The sequence below is a fragment of the Homo sapiens genome, chromosome 10 (genome assembly GCF_000001405.40).
Source record: "Homo sapiens chromosome 10, GRCh38.p14 Primary Assembly".
In the NCBI taxonomy this organism is placed as follows: Eukaryota; Metazoa; Chordata; class Mammalia; order Primates; family Hominidae; genus Homo; species Homo sapiens.
The window spans coordinates 11,496,678-11,517,365 of record NC_000010.11 but is presented as its reverse complement, the minus strand read 5'-3'; the positions used below and the strand labels follow the sequence as shown (position 1 = coordinate 11,517,365).

Sequence of the window (20,688 nt, the reverse complement as noted above, 5' to 3'; positions counted from 1 at the left end):
GCAGATTCTTTGTAGCTGAGGAATGACTGAGAAGGAAATAATGAGTAATAGTGAGAAGTTGGTAAATGCCCCTGTGAAGTTTGTGGCAGTCCACCTTGAATGGGAATGTAAGGATTTGTTCTCACACTCTGACTATGATCTCTCTTTTGGGCTGAATTAATGTAATGGATTCTTTGTAAAACTAAATATATTGACATAAAGACTGGCAGAGATTGTCCCTTCAAGTGTTACAGTGTCTTTTATTTGAGAAATCAGAAAGAGTTGGAAGATATCTTTAACAAAAGATATCCACATTTGGCAAAATAAAAATCTGGCAGTCCAGTATTGACTTCTCTCTCCAACATTCCCCTCCCCCTTTTGTAATTTCCTGATCCAGAAAGTTTGAAAGTCTTCAGACCGGTGATTTAAATGATTCAATAAATGGGGAGGTGAAGAAAAGAAGAAATATCAGACACAGGAGGATGCATGCTTGAGGAATATTGTTTTTCAAAATTTTTTATTAGTTTTTTAAGAGATGTGCCTATATAGTAAATGACCTCTTAATGCAGTTAGGCTTATAATTAATTGATTGTTTTCTCCAGAAAGTTTAATTTAATGGGGAATCACTAAAAAATGATCTATGCGTACCTTAGTAATTTATTTTAAAATAAGATATAACTTTATATTCACTTGTCTTTTATTTGGGGGTGGGGACAGGATTCAGAGGCTGTTGATTGGGTTTCCCTAAGGCCTTTTTTACGGAAACTGCACTCATATTGCATGACTTGCCTTTTACAGTTTTGGTTTCTTTAAAGTGGAATGAGAACTTAGCCACATGCAAAACAGCCTAAGGCTGGAAGCCTCTTAGTTTATCAGGATTTCCCCCAAGTTCTTCAGGTTTGAGTTAAGTTCTTGTGTTCTGTGGTGACTGCCTAGTCCTAGTAGCCAAGTTTTACCATTTCCAGGAAATGAATTAAAAAAAGTTTACATTTTTAAAATGGAATAAAGTCTAGAAATGATAGCCTTGCTGGTCTGCAGTCTTTATAGAGCATACACTTGAAGCATGCTCTTATTTCCATTGGGGAAGACTTGTACACTAGTGCATAGTCGGGTAATCACAGCTTTCCTTCCAGCTTTGCCAATGTATTATTTTACATAAGGCAGTTCTCTGTTTAAAATAGGGAGAGTGGTATACAGTCCTTCCTAAGAGGATTAGTATTGGTGTTTACTAAGTGCTTTGGTTTCCCCCAAACAGGCACTTAAGCACATAAACAAACATTATATTTACTCTGTAGAGAACTGTATTAATAATGGATTATATTGTTTCTTTGAGTTTATTGATGATTTTAATAAGGAAGAATAGATATGTAAAACTATGAATTTTCATAGATTCAGCTATCCCTTCATGTAGTGCAATCTTTTGCATGGTGTATAGGATATTGGAACCTATTTATATCAAAAAAATCTTAATTTAATGTAGTATGAAATCTTATTCAAGATACATGACTGATAGACTTTCCAATGTCAGGGTGTTCTGTAAAAAGACACGTTTCTTTTTGTACTTCTTGTCTTCTTCTGACCTCTGCTGGTGAGGTCTAGGCATGCCTGACTCCCATCAACTTTGTCCTCACTCATGAGTCCTAACTGAAACGAAAAACAAACTGTTAAGATAGGGAAAAACCAAACTGTTTTTCCTCCTCTCATACTTGACACAGCACAGAATACTTCCGGTTACCAAGATATGTGTCGGTTTTTCCCCAAGTGGACCCCAAATTTAACTCTACAATTTAACTCAATTCTGACACTAACCAGAGTAGGTGCAGACCTCACAGGTTAAGAGCTCACTTCCATAAGATTGCCTCTCACGTCAGAAGCCAGTTGAAAGTCTTAGGTTATCACCTGTGAAGGGCTATAAATTAGAGGTTCCCACAACCTCCAGGAGGGAACTGGGGGCAGAGATCATATAGTTCTCATTATATCACAATACGCAGTAATGTTCAAATAGAGCCATTAAAGCATCTGAAGACTTGAATCTGAGCAAATCCCAAGATTTCTTATTCTACAAGAGAAGGCTATGTAATATCCATCCATGCATTGTGTACGTGTCTAGCCTTTACTATCTGAATTATTAGCCATGTTAATAGTGGGAAGGGCCTTGGACCAGATAGAAGACAAAGCTATGTAGATGATTCAACAAATGATTATTGAATACTTACTATTCAGCTGGTCCTGTACAGGGTTGAAAACGTAGTCTCAGATCACTGGAGGTTGAGAGGTAACAAAGAAGATATTGGTTCCAGTTTTAATCCTTCGACCTTCTTTGCCCCAGTAGGAGAGGCCAGTTCTGACTTAGAGGCAAGATCAACTTAAGACAATAGGGTATTATATCATAAACTTTAAACAGAAGTTTAGCCCTTCCCTGAAAACAGCTCATGGGAAGAAAAGTATACAGCAGTGTAGCATTTTCTTAGCTAGTAGAGGTAATGGAGAGATAGCAGAGGGAGTAGAGGTGGAGATGATGGCCTTTGCATTATTTTCCTTGACTGTATGTTGCTCTGACATTCTGAGAGAAGTAGAATTTTCTTATGTCAGAGTCTTCTATACAATTATAAAAATTTCATTGGTGAGAAGCACATCCAGTGCCCAAAATTTAGTTTTGAACATCTTCTCCACTACAGGGAATCACAGGTTCTTGAACTGATGGCTGACTGCAGGTTGGGATAGGGAGAGTATAAGGTGGGCCAAAATCATTTTGTACCAGAACACTAAGAAATGGTAAAAGACAAATAGGGCATATCAAAAGGACAAATTTGAAGGGGAGACATTGCCACTCAGACGGGAAGTAGTCTAAGCCACCTCCTAGGGGACAGTTTGAGGTTCAAAAAGAATAATGATGATAATGGATTATAATCATGGAATCAAATAATTCTTTAGATTATAGTGATATTGAAAGGGGAGGAGCTAGAAAAGAAAAACTTTTTAAAGTCCAAAGTTAATAATGTCATTTCATAATATAGAAGGAATGATAGAAAAAAAAACCCAAACACCATTTTACCACCATCACAGTCATAATTGATTCAGGTAGGGATCATCAGTGGATGATGAGACCATTGGGTAGAGTTGTTAAGGAACATGATATGCGCCCCATAATTGATTCAGGTAGGAATCATCAACGGATGATGAGACCATTGGGTAGAGTTGTTAAGGAACATGATATGCGCCCTGTCTCAAAGTATATCACGTGGATTATTCATTAGTTACAAAAGGGAATTTCTCTATTAATGGAAAAATTGGGCAAATACTAACCTTTACTGAATGATGAAACTGTAGCATCATCGCTAGAAGTGGTACAGCTTGGCATCGTGTGCATCTGATGTGATGTGCTGGGAAAGACAACATAATGGGGTGATAATCCTGCTGAAATCCAGAGGAGCCAATCACACAAAGCCAGATAGTGTGGCCTTGACTTTTCAAAACATCAGTGTCATCAGAGACAAAGGCCAAGGCACTTTGGGGACCTGCCAGCAAAGGCAATGCCGAATGCATGATTGGATTCCGAGTTGCCCACACCACAGAAAAAACCAGCTATAAAGAACAGTCTTGGGGCAAGTGGGGAATTTGGTATATAGGCTGCTTATGAGGTAATAACCAGTTTTAAATTTCTTGGATATAATGGTACTGTAATCATGTAGGATAATGTGTTTTCATTCTTAGGCGATACGTACTTGAAATATTTAGGGATGAACTATTCATGTCGTGATTGTCTAATGATCAGTTCCCCCTAAAAACCTAAATAGTATAAATGAAATCTAGCAAAAGGTTAATAATCTGTGGGTCTCATGAAGCATTTATAAGTATGTGACATACTATTCTCTCAACTTTTCTGTAGGTTTGAAATATTTCAAAATACAAATTGAGAGAACTAAGATGTTTGTGTATGAAGCCAACAGAATTATTTAATATCAGTTTCATATAGGCTGTTAACATCAGCAGCTCTGCCTTTTGGCAACACTTTGAAAAGTGTTACCCGCATGATGGAATAATTCCATTTCTACCATTCTGCCACATACGGGATATTATTAACTTCTGGTTACTTCTGTATTACAGTGATCACATTGCTATCAGAAATAACATTCTGGTTTCAGTCTATCTGTTCATATTCATTCTACTTCCCACCCCTCCACCTTGAGACCACAGAATGTTATTAATTCCTTCATAGGGTTCAGTTGTTTTTTCTTATGTAAATTCTGTTTAATTTTTAAATGTTTAACTTTTCTTATATAACAACCACTGTTTTAGGTGATAAAAACATGAACATATCCAGTCTCTGTAGTCAAGGAGTTCATACTTTGATAATACAATTTGGGCATTTAGGCCAACTAGAACACAGGTGTTAGGTGCTGTAACAATGATCAAAATAATTCTCGTTTTATAGATGAGACAATTAAGGTACAGAAAGATTAGGTAGTTTGCCCCAAATGAAACAGTATGGGACAGAACTCAGATTTGAACCCAGGTCATCTGGGTCTTGAATCCATGCCATGGAATGCTAAGGGAACAGTTGGTTTTGCTTGGAACATGGAGCGATCTGGGAAAGGTTCCAGGCGTTGGACATTTGACCTAGGTCTTGAGAGGATGCATAGGATTTTACCAAATGATGGTGAGAAAACATGACAGGCAGACAAATAGGAAACATTTGTCATAAAGGCTGAAAATGCATTGTGTATGGGAATGACAAATAGTTCATGGTGGCCAGATCACAGAAGTAGCAGGAGGTAGAACTGGAAGGTGAATTGGGGCCACATTCTGAAAGGCTGCTCATGTGTGCTGTGCTAAGAAATTTGAACTTTACTTCTAGAAAATGGGTAGCCATTGAAGGATTATAAACTGGGACATGTGTGAAGGGTTGTGGTAGCAGTGTGGAGGCTGGAGTGAAGACAAGGATCCCAGCAGGGAGCTTCTGTTTTCATCTAGGAACTCTGATTACCTGAACTGGGGAAGAGGACAGGATGGAAGCAGGAGACAGAACATGGACCCAGCAGAGTGTGGTTTGGGGCTGGGAAGTGAGAGAGAAGGAGGGCTTAGTGGGTAGTGATGCTGTTAATTCATGTCAGGGACAGAAGGGTACTAGCAGCATGTTTGGGAAAATAGTTTCGGATATGTCGACTTTAAAGTCTCTGTTGAACTTTAAGTGGAGTTTCTAATACACTATTATATTCCAGTTTTGTCTTATTGTGGTTGAGTCTATGGCAAGATGACATTCCCTAGCTTATTTTTTGGGGGCACTTAAGTTCACATTTGTCACATATGAATATGTTTTCAGTTACTTCTTCAAAACAGTTGCTGGAATAGTTAGCTTCGGCATCTTTGGTGAGAAAGTATATTTCATCTATGAATTATAGATTCATGATTGGGGGAAAGAGACTTTCATGTGCATTCAAGTTTGGTATTGTTGAATGGACAGCATTATGGAGTTAGCACTTAAACTTGATTGAATACTGATACATAATTTTCGGATCCTATAGCTTCCCAAGGGGTGTGTGTGTGTGTGTGTGTGTATAATATATATTATTTTATTTTATTTTTTGCTGTAGGGAAAAGCATACTTAATGATCCTTAATTTTTTTTGTATGTGTATGTGTGTGTTTTGTTCTTGCAGCGTGGGAATGTATAGCATTTAAAATAATCTGTATATATGATAAGCATTAGAATTCAAAAGTGTGCTTTTAAAAAAATGACTGCTTCCTAAAGTGATTCATTGATAATTCATGGTCATAAAAATGAAAGATAGCAAGAGACCTGCTAGATCTCAGCAGGGTTGTTCCTGGCAAAGTGTATGTTGTTATACTCTTGGGTTGGCTTGAATTATTTGGTGTTTTCCTGTTGGTGGAAAAAAGGATTATGCTTTGAAGAAGTCAGGGGAGAAAGTGCAGAAGAACAAAAAATACCAAATGGCAATTTAGATCAATCTTAATTTTTCACAGCTTGGCCTTCTCTAAAGTCACATTTAGCAGAAACATTAATTAGATTTCAGTGCCCCACTGAGTTTTAAAATTAAACATATTTCTGGAACCATCTGCAACAGTTTATCACTAATAATATAATGAGGAAAATATACTTAGCCTTTTGAAAAATACGAATTATAAAAGAATATCTTTTTCTCATGAGTGCTCATCTTTTATTGTGAGAAACCCATCAAAAATTTTAAAAAGAGTTAGGTAATTGAGAGTTTTAAGAATATGCCTAAAATTGAAATTCTATAAAAATATTCTCATTGGTGAGATAACTTTTCCTAAATTCAGGATTTTCTTTGGAATTTTATGTACTTTTAGGTCTAAAAATAGTGGTGGTGAGGCATATATGCCATCTGCCAGCATAATGTCTGCCTGTTTGAGGCTGGATTGCAGACAGTCAGTAAGGAGCTGCTGCTTCCATCCAGGAATGATGATTGCCTGAACTAGGGCAGAGGACAGGATGGGAGCCAGAGATGTGGTGGCTCAGAGTGTACGTCCTGGAGCCAGGCTTGCCTGGCTTTGAATCCGTCTTCTACCACTTATGAGAGGGGTGACTTGGGACAAGTCCCTTAAGCCCTTTGTGCCTGTTTCCTCATTGTAAAATGGTGACAATCATACCTACCTCGTGGGGTTGCAGTGAGCATGCATCCTTGAGTATAAAATGTATCCTCAGAATGATTTTCTTTTCTGAGTAGACTTGTATTTTCATTGCTTTTTATTCATATACTTACTACTCATGGGCCCAGGTACTTAGGAAAAAATATTCCTTCTCCTGGAAACCAAACAAGTGAAGAGCGAGCATTTTCCGTCTCACTTTCCCCATTCCGCAGCCTTGCCCCTGAATTTCACTTGAGTGGGCACGCAAGAGACTTCTCCCAACTTTGGCAGCCTGGTGTCCTGATGCTTTTTTGTAAACCCTTTGGAGCTGCTGTCGGCCCCTGCTGTCTCAGAAATACATGCATTCTCAAGGCTGCCTGGAACATTCTTTCCCACATTGCATTTGATTAAAAAAAAACAAACCCTAATAATCTCTCTGTTCCTCATTTTGGGATCATTTTCTCTGGCATGCCTAGGTGGATTTGACTGCCCCTTCTGCCGTGGCCCTTCCTGCCTGTGCCAGTGCCTGCCACAACGCAGTGTGTTCCTTGTCCATTGTCCTTAGCACCTGGTCAAATTTCTTTAGGGCAGCAACTAGTACTTAGTTTTATTTTTTTTAATAGTTTCCCTCTAGCATAAGGCTACTTACACATTAATCTTTCCATTAAATAAATAAACAGCCACTTTTCCTTTAAAAAACTCTCGCTAAAAACAACAATATACTAGAATTCAGTAAAATAAGAAAGAAGAGAATTAAATTTCAAAGTAGTGTTTTTGTTGCTTTGTAAAATATTTCAAAATATTTTTTAAAATTTTGTTTAAATTTGTAGAATACACAATATTTTGGTTACTTTTCAAGTCTTGGAAAATTTAAATAATATCTTTTTACCTAGAGAGAGCATTTCCTATTAATCTTAACTTTAGCTATGGACTAGTATTGATACAGTTCTGATATTATCCAACTTTTTACAAGTTAGGATATCTGCTAATATAGCATAACTTTTTTAGTTCCTTTTTTAGAAGCATTTTCTTTGAAGTTTTTTATAACTCATAAGTAAAGAAACGAACAACAATAACAATGAATTTCAATTTTATTTTAGCAAAAGCACCTGGAAATTGAAAGAACTACCAAATGGCTGAAAATGCTGAAAGGATGGGAAAAATACAAGAACACTGAAAAGGTAATTTAAAATCATGTTTTTCCATATGAAACTATATAAACTCAATGTGGATTTTCATAGTAGAAGTTCTTCTTTAATTATAAGAGTGTTACATTCATATTTGGTTTTGAAATTTTGGTTTAATTTAGCAGTATGCCTCGAATTAGGAGTTTTTATATTGTAAGTAACGTAATACCCGATTCGGATTGGTTTCGACATTTAAGTCTGTATTGAATGGTTCAGAGGTGGGATGGGTTTCAGGAGTGATTTAATTCAGCTGCTTAATGAAGTTGCCTGTGCCATAGTTTCTTCCATCTCTTCTCTGCCTTCTGCACTGTCAGCCCCATCTTGAGGTTGGCTTCCCTTTGAGGTCAGAATCACTGGAGCAGTTCCAGGCTTTGTATCCACAGATCATACTGCTCAGAAAGAGAGAGGGCTGGCCTCTGAAAGCATTCCCTCAAGCAGGAGCAATCTCCTTTTTCAAAAGCTTCTAGCAAACCTCCCCTTTAATGTTTTTGCCTTGCGTTGAGTTTGTGCTAAGTTAGTTAGAGAAAAATACATACATATATTAATATCACCATGCGTCTCATCAGAAAAGTCTTTAAACAGTGAGAAGATGTCAAGCTCCTGGTGGTAGAAGTTTTCCAAAGCTGTTAAGTTTTATTTGAAAGGTCAAATATCATCAGTGGCAATAAATACTGTGTCAGTTATCTTCCTTCAAGTGACAGGCTCATTTAAGATATTTTTGAGATAATGTCTGCCAGATACCCAGTGCTTGAGTGGCAGTTGCTTATTCTTTCAAGTAATAACAGTGGTTTGTGAAAATGTTCATGATTCAAAGAATTTCATCCTAAGCACTTTTTCTTGACACAGTCATTGCACTTGGTTGTGCAGCACAGAGCTCCGTATGCACTTCCCGTCTCGTCACTGCTCGTTACGTTAATAAGACCTCTGTCAAGGGTTGATATTTAATCAAGTTAACACTTTTTACTGCTTCATCGAGGGCATTCTTAAGTTAAACTGACTTTTTAAAACACAGAGTGAGGAATCACTAATTCCACAGTACAGCACTACTGCTGCCTTGATTAGTTCCAAGAGCCGGTAGTTTTACCACCATAGCTTTTCTATCATCAGTGCAAAAGTTTCACTATAGCTTTTTTATGATCGGTGCAAAAGTCAGCACTGTAAAAAGAAATAGTTTTATTATGAAAATCGTTTTGGTTTCATGGGCCATATTTTGAGAACCACTGATGTCTAAGCCTCAGTTTCCTCATCTGCAGAATGGAGATAATAGTGTCCCATTTCAAAGGGATGAAGATTTCATGATTTAATGCATGTAAAGCACTTAGCATTGTACCTTACATAGAACAAGCATTCAGTAAATGTTAACTACCCCTATTAATTTCTTGAAGGAAGGCTGAACAATAAAAACATTTTAAAGGAAAAAAAGGAAATCTAACTTAGTCCTACTAGCAAAACACAACTGAGTTAACTGTTGGGATTTTTGTCCATTCCTCACACTTTTTTCAGTATAATCCTTTCTTTTCCCTTTTTGTATAGATACAGATTATCTTATGTCAACATTTGCTGATGAGAATTCCAGGGAGCATGAGTTTCTTGGGTTCTACTAGTTCCACAGAAGCAGTAGTATAGCCTGATGGTGAAGAGGCAGATTCTAGAGGCAGACTATCATGGGTCAAACCCCAGCTCTGCCACTTCCTAGCCATATGACCTTGGGAAAGGCATTTAACTTTTTTCTGCTGTACTACCTACCCCATTAGGCTTGTTGTGAGGATTAAATAAGTTAGTTGATGTAAAGCATAGAATAGTGCCAGGCGTTTAGTATGCAGTCAGTATGTGTTGCTTATTATTAAATGAGGAAAGGGCTCTCTGGTTAAATAAAGTTGGGAAAACCTGAACTAAAAAAAAATTAAGCAAGATTTCTTTCTTTACTGTAGGATTATTTAGTCTTTAATATGAGGTATGAATTTTTAAGAGGGATCTTAAATCACATGAAACCGACTTAACCATGGGAATCTTTTTGACATGGGTATCTTACAGAGCTAATGAGCCTTTTCTTTTTGAGCATACTAAATATCCTTAGGCTCTTATATTACTTTGTTTTCATCAGGGGTGAGTTCATTTGGGGTGGTTGATTTTATTAACTGTCTGTTTTAGCATTAGGTTTAGAACTCAGGATGTTTTTAAGAGGACACACTTCAAAGTAGAATATTAGTTACAACATCTGTTCTCTTGTTTAATATTATGCAGTCTCAGATTGGCCTACATTTGACAACTACTTTACATCTTTGTGGAAAGATTGCTCAAGTGGTAATTACAGGGTAGATTTCAATGCATTGCACCTATCCTTTAATCTCACATTCATTCTAATAAAATATTTGTAGAATGAATATTTTGTTATTCTGTGGTCTACATATGCCTATGAAAGTACGTAAGCCTCTCTAAAAACGAACAATTCTACTGGGCTATTATTCTGACAGCAACTCTGGCTAATGCAGTTCCCATTTAGTGAGATTTTAGCAGTGCCATGTCTTTGAAGTATAATTTTGAAGCACTCTCCGATAACTATAATGCTAGAATCATTTGATGATATATGTGGCCCAATTTGGTGTGAAACAGAATGAACCTTCTAAAAGAATTACTGCTTTCAATTCACACCTAGTTTTAAATTGCATTCAAGTAAAAAAACTAGCATTTTTTTTCTTGTCTTTCAAGGAGAAGTATGTTTTCTCTCCACAGATTCCTTACTTATATAGTAGTAATACAGAGAAATTCTAAAAATATTTGAAATAAAAATATAGCCCTGGTAGGGAATATTTGGATTTTTAGAACCCAAGCTTTAATGAAAAAAAAAAAAAAATTCTGTTAAGGTTGTTTGTGTTGCCTCTGTTCTCACAGTGACTGCCTCCCTATGTACAGTAGTATTGTAAATTTTTTTGTTTTTTTTTGAGAGACACGGTCTCTGTTGCCCAGGCTGGGGTGCAGTTGCGCAATTATAGTTCTCTGCAGCCTGCAACTCCTGGGCTTAAGTGATTGTCCTGCCTCAGCTTCCCAAGTAGCTGGGACTGTAGGCAAGCACCACCATGCCTGCTAATTAAAAAAAAAATTTTATTTTTCTAGAGATAGGGTCTTGCTATGTTGCCCAGGCTGGTCTCGAATTCCTGGTGTCAAATGATTCTCCTGCCTCAGCCTCCAAAAGCATTGGGATTACAGGCATGAGCCACTGTGCCCAGCCTGTATTTTAAAAATATAGTCTATGAAGTGAAGTTATCTCTGTTAAGTGGAGACCATTATGATTTAACTGGTCATGATATACTTGTGTCTAAGCTATGTCACAGCAAAGTGCCTTCTACAAATACACATATTTTTTTGTTGGTCAAATAATTGAATGGACCTTTCAGACCATATTAACCATTTTTTTTTAACTGACTGGAAAATGGAGGCATATTGCCTAGAAATAAATTTCTTAAGGTCACACAGCTTGTTAGCAACAAGCAAAAGAATGTCCAGACTTAGAGCTCATTTAACTGTACCATCTTTTATGCCAGCTTTCCCTTTTGGTGTCTGTCAGGGAAGTAGAATGTAGTTATAAAACACAGTAGGGCCTTGTGGATGGTTTAAAACTTTTTTAGATGCAGATTTGGGAGACCTGTTGCTGTTTGAAGGCAGAAACAAAGGAGCCAGTGGAGCAGGGATGATGAGAGAAAATGGAGAGGCAGTGAAAGGCATAAGCAGCTCGAGTGAGCCTCTGTTTCATGGCGCACACTCGCACAAAACTCAGCCAGGCTTGCTGGGCTGAAAAGTTTACTCACTGGCAGTCATAATGATGTGGATTGCACACTTGTCACTGTTTTAATCACCAAGGTTTAGAAAAAGGTACTGAAAACATTAGTCATTTGTTGGAATTTTTTTTTTAAGTCCATAGATTTTTAAATGTTTCTGTGGGACTACTGTAGACTTTTTAAAGATTTTATGTATCATATCTATGAAACAAATTTGTAGAAGAATCTTAAAGGTGATACTTTTCAAATTGGAATACTGAAATGTTACAATTCAATATGTAGAAGTTCTTTATCATGGTTGTTAAGAGTATGGATTCTGAAGTCAGACTCAGACTGAATTTGAGTTCTTATAACACAGTTTCTTTTGAGCTAGTTACCTAACCTTTCTATGTCCTAATTTTTTCATTTGTGAAATGGATATGTTAATAATAGTACCTACCTTTTTAGGGATGCAGTAATATTACAATGAATGAATTAATTTAGAAACACATAGCATAGTGTCAGCTCATAATAAATAATCAGAAAGTGTTCTTTAACAATTGTCATTATTACTGTTGGACTCATCATTATCCACATCCTTGCTCCCACCCCCACTTTTCCCTTCCTGGCACATTCCTATTCAGTATTGAGTTTATTGTCATTTTCTCTAAAGGAACTCCTTTCCATCTCTCACACAGGATTAGTTCCTCCTTTCTTCTGTTATCTCTAAGATAAGCTCAGGATGACAGTCCCTGTGTTGGACCCATAAGAAGTGACCATCACAGCAGATGCATGGCGCTCACCCCAGCAACTTTGTCCCTAACCCTTTTCTAGTTCTCTCTTAGAATTGTATGTATCTTTTTGTAGAAGGGCTAGCCACTCCCTGATAGCTTCTCTCACAGATCTCGACAGTGTGGTGCCCACCATCCTTCTTTTACCACTCTGGCTCACTGGGGAGTCTGTCTCTACCAGCACCTCCCCTGTCAGGGCATGGTGCTCAGCACTGTTAGCAGCTCATGTATGTGACTGTGTTTTATGATAAAGGATTCTCTGTTTAAGTTATAATTATCAGCTTACGTATTTCTCTTCCCAGTACGCTGTGAGCTCCACAGATCTTTTTCATGTTTGTAGCCACAGAACCTCATAAGCGTTGGCCACAAAGCGGGCATTCATTACAAGTTATCATTTTAGAATGAATGAATGATGTTCGTTTATGAGTTGAGGACAACCAGCTATCACTTTTTACTGATAAATTCTGCCACTTTAATAAAGCGGTAATTTTTAGAAGACAGTGTGATTTGGCAGAAAGTCCCCGAATTTGTAATAAGAAGGTAGAACTTTTTGACCTAGGGCAGATACTTTTCTTCTGTATCTTGTTTTACTTACATTTTAAGTGGAAACCACCCGCTGAACCTACATTATGGGGCTGATGTAGAAAAGATGAAATGCCACTTTGCCAGTTGAAGGATTATCAACAACTGTAAACTGGACTACTGTTCTGGGGAATAAGCAAATTTCATCCAAACTGTTGTGTTTGGAGGTAATTCCCACTTTGTTTTATAGAGTTTGTAAAACTTCTATGATAGTTAAAAATTTGTGAAGAAAGATATGTAACTGTAATAAGTTAGTCTGTCATGTAACAGTACAAGTATTTGAAAAACAGCATAATTAGAAAATTTTTATTTTAGGGTCTTATAATTTAATTCTTTTTCTGCTATATGTGATTTTGTGTTCATGTTTTGTTTTGTCACCTCCTACTGCTTGGATTCCAAAGACATCGTTTTTATATTCCTTTTAAGTTTTTGGTGTAATTATATTATCATTATTTTAGTGTTTTCTGCTCTTGGGCTTTCTTGATACTTTCCTGTTCGCTATTCCATGTATTTTAGTAAGTCCAGCTGGGCAAAACCATGGGCCGTGGTCATTGTTTTTTACAAACTGTAAAATCAGTCATCTTTTATAACATCTTGTGCTTGCTTTTGGGCAAGTTATTTAACCTCTTTGTGATTCACGTTCTACGTTGGTAAAATTGAGTTGTTGGTATAATTAAAGTTATAGAATTGTTAGTATAATTAAATGAGGTAAATATCCATAAATAGCTTAAAGGGAAGGGATAAAATAAAACAGATTAACTAAATAGTTTCTTATTTAAATAGTTGCTAAGTAGTTTCTAATAGTTGTTAAATAGTTGCTTAAAATAGTTTCTTGTGCATGGTAAATGCTCAGTAATTTGGATTAATTGTTGCCATGGATGATGATAGTGACACTGTATCAATGTTTCTTAAGCTTTCCCATATGTACCTGATTTTTAATTTTAGCTCTGTACTAGTATGGGGACCATTAATTTTTTATTTCCACCCCCAGATTTCCTACTTTTTAATGTAATCACAGCCATTTGATGGAGTTTTTTTCCCTAAATGTAGATTTAACTTTAAGATAAATGATGTACAGTAACTTATGTACAATTATTGAGTACAGAATTGAGCAACAGCAACAAAATAATATCTGAAGACTTTTCAAGTAATATAGCTTAAGAAATAAGTGTCAGAGCGCTTATGTTACTCATTAAAAATGTCATTATTTTACTTGTTCGGGTCCACTGAAGTCAGTCATATTACACGTTCCTATTAAAATTTTACTTTTAGCATTTGCAGTGATTTCTACACTTTCTGTTATTCAAATCAGTTGCCTGCAGTACGACATCTTTACTCTAGAAATTTAGAAGATAATTTGAAGTGACTTTTTGTGGATGATATTACTTTAAAATCACAGTTTACTATAATTGTGAAGTGGTATAGATCATAACTTCCTTTGGGAAAACAAGTCTTAAATTCACTTGTTTTTAACCACACATGCTTGTCGAGCATGTGGCAAATGTTGCGAGTCTAGTTTTATGGTCAACATGAAGCCTTTCTGTACATATTCCTCCAGTTAAAGTGATCGCATGGGATTAAAATTTCTATGACTGTAGTCACTATCTACTGAAATTTCAAATTTGAGGCATACTATATTTATACCAAAAGAACAAAACAAATTTTGTAAGTCATTATTTGAATCAACCTTACAGTATTCACTGTTTTATAATAAAAGTTGTTCATCTTTGTCACTCACCTTCAACCACATGATCGAAGTTTCTTAAAGCTGCTTTATGACTTAGTCACTAAAGCTTTAGTTTAAAAAAGTCTCAGTAGTGTAATAGTTAAAGCCTTGTGTACTACTTATTGTAGCTCTTCAATATTTCAATTATTAGAACTGGCATCTTATTTTCTGAACCATAACATTCAAGTATATTACGATGATAATAAGAGTACTAGTTCTTACCTGAAGGGCTTCTGCTATAATTTATTTAATTATTTCCCTGTTTGGACATTTATTTTTAAGTTTCAAAGTGTTAGGCACAACATTGTGATGACCGTAATAGGTTTTATGTTATTTTGAGTAATTAGACTTGAGGAAAAAATTAATTACAAGAAGACGGAGAGGTGTATTGAACTTAAGATTCTTAGGGCAATAGCAGTACACTTTCAAGGATGGAGGGAGTTGATGACACAAATGTTTCTTTTTTTTTTTTTTTTGAGATGGAGTCTCACTCTGTTGCCCAGGCTGGAGTGCAGTGGCGCAATCTCGGCTCACTGCAAGCTCTGCCTCCCGGGTTCACGCCATTCTCCTGCCTCAGCCTCCCGAGTAGCTGGGACTACAGGCACCCACCACCATGCCCGGCTAATTTTTTTGTAGTTTTAGTAGAGACGGGGTTTCACTGTGTTAGCCAGGATGGTCTCCATCTCCTGACCTTGTGATCTGCTCACCTCGGCCTCCCAAAGTGCTGGGATTACAGGCGTGAGCCACTGCGCCCAGCTGATGATACCAATGTTTCATGCCTAATTTCATTCAAAAGTGATGTCTTCCCTTGATGAAGATTTATCGTTGTTTTTGTCTTATCAGATAGCATCAATGTCATTTAAGAAAAAGAAAAAAGTTTTCCTGAAGAAATAGCAAGAACTGAAAAGAGGAGAGAAAAGAAGGAGAAAGGGCAGGGGAGGGGAAATGAGAGTGAGAAAGAGAGAACACTGAAGATGGCCAGTAGGATTAACTGGAGTTTTCAGATAGATGAGGAGAAGCTTGGTATCTTCTGAGAGACCAGTGAGAAGGTGGCAGGAAAGAGATTAGGAGTCAGCACTCTACAATCCATGAGGATATTTTGGGGACAAGGCAACCTTTTTGCTGTTTGGAGCATCTTTTAGGTGTGTGGGATAAAAGGCAGAAAGTGTGTAAGAAGTTAATTATACCATCAGGGAATGTGTAAATCAGATGTTCACACCTTTAAAAAGAGCACTGACTGCTTTTGTGCCACTTAAGGGACACTTCCGTAATGGCCTGAACATGCTAATGCATTGGGCATTCTTAACAATTTCTTGTTATACTCTCTCCTTCTTTGTCTGTATCTCCCTGTTAGAATCTTAAAAATAGAGATGACAGTACCTCCATGTGCCATGTTGAAATGTATTAATTAATTGCCATAGATGCTTTGAAAATACAATGCTAACAAATATTAGCAAGATTAACTGTAGAGACTAATCTAAGTTTTTTTCAGTTTGTAACCTTCAGTTTCTTTTTCTTTTAATAAGTTTCATAGGCGAATTTACAAAGGAATACCACTCCAGCTCAGAGGTGAAGTCTGGGCCCTCCTTCTTGAGATCCCTAAAATGAAAGAAGAAACAAGGGACCTGTATAGTGTGAGTAGCTAAAGCTAACTTGTTATTTTGAAATTAAAAAGTAAAATCCATTTCTTTTAGCATTCAAGGTGACATAAGATATTCATATGATCACTTAAAATTATATTAAAATTCTATCGCATTGGAGGTTTTGGAGGTCTATTTGTTTTCTTGATTGCAAAAATACTTCTTAAATTTTAAATAGATACTTCAGTAAAAATGTTATTGTCTGTATCAATAAGTATGAAGTGCTTTTCAAATACATAAATGATCAATTAAAGTAATTAGATGATCAATGTTAGGACGTGGTTGCATGGAAAATGGACTAACACCTAATTATAGCTGCTTGTTTGCCACATGGTGTTAATGGAGAGATTTGTGGTATCACTTTGAGAGTTCGTGGGAAACAGCAGCAGAATTCAGTTTAACCAACACCTGCTGTGTATGATTCTTTTCTTCTAGCATGAAAAAAAAGATGACTTTGCCCCAAGATTATTAGGGTATCTCTAGGTTTTATTATTTATTAATAAAAAGTTAAACTTTTGACTGAGTAATAATTTTTTTCTTAAATTAGGTGCTTTAAATGTATCTCCTTGTCATCTCGTAGCTATACCCTTTCTGAACCTAAATTTTCTATTAACCTTTGAAAGGAGTAAGAGATTTACATCTAAGAATCTTAGACCCATAGATTTTGAAATATGTTCCTTAGAAAATATGTACAAAAAAATTAATGTGGAATAAATGGGAAAAAATAAAAATTGCTGTTTTTTTTTTCTTCAACTTTTATTTTAAGTTCAGGGGTACACATGTGCAGGACGTGCAGATTTGTTACATAGGTAAATGTGTGCCATGCCATGGTGGTTTGCTGCATAGATCATCCCATCACCTAGGTATTAAGCCTTAGCACTCATTGGCTATTCTTCCTGATGCTCTCCCTCCCACCTCCACCCCTTGCTGACAGGCCCCACTATGTTTTGTTCCTCATCATGTGCCCGTATAGTCTCATTATTCAGCTCCCACTTATAAGTGAGAACATGCATTATTTGGTTTTCTGTTCTTGCGTTAGTTTGCTGAGGATAATGGCTTCCAACTCCATCCATGTCCTGGCAAAGGACATGATGTCTGAGAGAACATAATATGAAATATAACCCCAGCACCTAGTACAGTGTGCCTAGCATATGGTAGGTGCTCTGTTAGTATTTGTTTAAATAATGAAAGTAGAAAATGAAAGAAAAAGCACTTTATTTACATGCTGTATTCATTTAGGGCTGCTGTAACCAAGTACCACAAACTAAGCGGCTCAAAACAACAGAACTCTCTCTCACACAGTTCTTGAGGACAGAAGTCCAAAATTAAGGTGTCAGCAGGACAACACTTTCTCTCAGGGCTCTAGGGAGGCATCTTCCTGGCCTCCTCCAGCCTCTGGTGGTGGCCTACCATCCTTAGTGCATTTTGGCATCGCTCCATCCCTGTCTTCCTTATCACCTGGCTATCCTCCCTCCTGTGAATGTGTGTCTGTCTTTCCTGATAGGGACAATAGTTATTGCATGTAGGGTCCACCCTCATCCAGGATGACCTCATCCTAACTTGATTACCCCGGCAGAGGCCCCATTTCCAGATGAGGTCACAGTCACAGGTTCTTGGTGGACATGAGTTTTGGAGGGACACTATTCATCCCAGCTTGCCTGCTAATAGTACTCTAATTTTCAGTTATATTTTAGACTTTTTCTATGTAGAATAAAATTATCAGATGGCCAGTTAATACAAGAGAACCATTTAGTAAAATCTGACAGCAACTACAACAAAAGAATGACTTGCCTGCCAGTACCTTCAAGCCTATGATTTTCAACACTGTCATCAATATTATTTTTACTATTTGAGTTTCCCCCAGCATCATTATTTAGCCAACTTTTTTTTCCTTTCTCATCCACTCTTTCTCTCTCTCTCCACACATCCTCCACGAACTGGAACTTCAGTAGGACTAAAACTACAACCTTCTCTTAATCTGCCGAGACTTTTCTCAGATGGGTGAAATTATTTGGACCCAGCATATTATCAGCATTCAGTCCTTCAAGTTCCCCTGGTGGCCTGTTTGTCCTTTCTTGTCCCCATAAAGCTCTGTGGGTGGTATTGAAGAACGTATGAAGATGAATAGGTACAGTGGCAAGAATCTTTTCTTCTAGGTTGGAGGAGACATGGTTGCATAGAAATATTTAATAATAGTCTGTGATAAATACTCTAAAAGTAGGAGTTGAAAAGAGGGTAAGAAAAGAAATCACCTTTATGGTTCAGGAAGACTTCATGGAGTAGGAGGTGTCTTGGTGGGACTTTGTTTCCTACAGGAAGGAAAAAGATTGCTGAATTTCAAAGCACATTGCAAAGACCTTCCCTGATCTCCTCCAATTTGGATCTGATTAGTTTTAACTTGAAGCTTCATATTGCCGTATTTTAAAATAAAGTACCTACTTTACCATGAGGAGAGCTGACATTGTTTGAATACTTTTATGTCTAAGTGCTCTATGGGAATTACCTCATTTAGTTCCTGCAACCATGCCAAGATGCAGGTTTTGTCCTTATTATATTTATCTTACACATGAGGAAACTGAGCTTAGCGAGGCTAGGTGACTTTTCACCCCAAGGTTAGCAAGTGGCAGGGGTAGGATTTACTATCCAAGCTGTCTTGGCTGCTCCCATCTAATATGTTTTCCTCTTCTGTTATCTCATTTTTATTTTTCTCTCTTGCATTTAGCAGTGTACCTTACAGATGGTATAGGATCAGACCATAGTGGAAAACAGCTTCATCCACAGCCTTAGTGTGGCTCAGTAATCTCGTAGGCCAAACTCACAATGATAATCCTAATTTTTTTTTTTTTTTTTTTTTTTTTTGAGACAGAGTGTCACTCTGTTGCCCAGGCTGGAGTGCAGTGGTGTGATCTCGGCTCACTGCAACCTCCACCTCCTAGGTTCAAGCAGTTCTCTGCTTCAGCCTACCGAGTAGCTGGGATTACAGGTGCCCGCCACCATGCCCGGCTAAGTTTTCTATTTTTAGTAGAGATGGGGTTTCACCATGCTGGCCAGGCTAGTCTTGAACTCCCTGACCTCGTGATCCACCCGCCTTGGCCTCCCAAAGTGCTGGGATTACAGGCGTGAGCCACTGTGCCTGGCCAATAATGCCAATTTTTTATCTAAATGCTTTCCACTGTACTTCTGCCCTCAGGTTTATGGGTTCATTTGATCCCATTTTTTAAAATAAAGTATTTATTTTTATATTACTGTGACGCTCATGGATCTCAACCCACCTAATCTCAAAGGTAACTGTAGAAATTGTTTACCTCTTTTCATTCAGGAGTAAAAAATATGTTTGATTCCTGCATTCCATGCATTAGCTTATAAACATTTTAGGACATAAATAATATTTCTGACCTATTATTTTTTACATACTTACCCGGGCTTTTCTTCCACCATGAGGCCTTTTTTATGATGGATTTTCTTGTCCTCTGGAGGAACTGATACTATAGATGCGTTTGGGTCTTTTCTGCCTTCCTATTAACTTTTATTTTAAGGCATTTTATTTTATCATGTCTTGTCAAACATTTTCTTCCTGTGTTTTGACATCTCATCTTTTACAAGGAAGCCTGTAGAACAACAGTTGAAACCTCTTTACTTGCCCATTATCTTTTTTGTTTTTTCTTTCTTTTTTTTTTTTTTTTGAGACTGAGTCTCACTCTTGTTGCCCAGGCTGGAGTGCAGTGGCGCGATCTTGGCTCACTGCAAGCTCCGCCTCCCGGGTTCACACCATTCTCCTGCCTCAGCCTCCTGAGTAGCTGGGACTACAGGTGCCCGCCACCATGCCCGGTTATTTTTTTTCACATTTTTAGTAGAGACGGGGTTTCACCGTGTTAGCCAAGATGGTCTCCATCTCCTGACCTTGTGATCCCCCCACCTCACCCTTCCAAAGCGCTGGGATTACAGGCGTGAGCCACTGTGCCCGGCCTTGCCCATTATCTTAAAAAAAAAAAAAAAAAAAAGATGGAAGAGAACAAATATGTACAGATTTATTTTTCAAGCTAAATTTTTATAATATCTTCTGAACCACCTTTTTCAGAAATAATATACAATAATATTTTAGTGGCCATATGAATCTAATACAATACTCTAAATGTCTTCCTCTGTCTTGAGAATTCTGAAACATACTGTGGCTGTTCTTCCTGTTTTAAAAAGCTGCAGAAGCCCCTTCTCTGACCTTCAATACACAAAAATACACAGACTCATAAAACACTTAACATACACATACTTATTCTAGACATGCCCAAATAGCCTTATTCTAGACATGCCCAGATAGCCTTATAATAGACATCCCCAGATAACCTTCTTTCCACTTTTAGCTGAAGTCGGGAACAGTTATGTTTTTATGTATATTTATTGGAATTGATTCAAGCAGAAG

At 37.2% G+C, this 20,688-nt stretch overlaps 1 protein-coding gene and 1 long non-coding RNA gene across 12 annotated transcripts in view, besides 1 other annotated feature; one reads left to right on the top strand and one right to left on the bottom strand.

The window, feature by feature from the left end:
• The window catches only part of USP6NL (USP6 N-terminal like), a 151,141-nt gene that overhangs the window by 94,285 nt on the left and 36,168 nt on the right, over positions 1-20,688 (top strand). For all 11 annotated transcript variants that reach the window (XM_024448263.2, NM_001391960.1, NM_001391961.1 and 8 more), the window contains 2 exons: positions 7,691-7,771; positions 16,158-16,265. In XM_024448263.2, the coding sequence (XP_024304031.1) occupies positions 7,733-7,771; positions 16,158-16,265 (147 nt within the window). In that variant the 5' untranslated portion in view covers positions 7,691-7,732. The remainder of the gene's footprint in view (positions 1-7,690; positions 7,772-16,157; positions 16,266-20,688) is intronic.
• LOC105376410 (uncharacterized) lies at positions 1,515-19,783 on the bottom strand. The gene is made up of 5 exons (XR_007062053.1): positions 19,690-19,783; positions 18,524-18,580; positions 3,286-3,362; positions 2,196-2,240; positions 1,515-1,623 (listed from the first exon to the last, which is right to left on the bottom strand). It is a non-coding gene; the product is annotated as an uncharacterized LOC105376410 (long non-coding RNA).
• Positions 17,513-17,572: a silencer, noted in NCBI's record as "silent region_2128". NCBI's record gives its function as "represses an Ori minimal core promoter by ATAC-STARR-seq in GM12878 lymphoblastoid cells {active_cell/tissue: GM12878}" and the evidence as "EXISTENCE:reporter gene assay evidence [ECO:0000049][PMID:35858748]".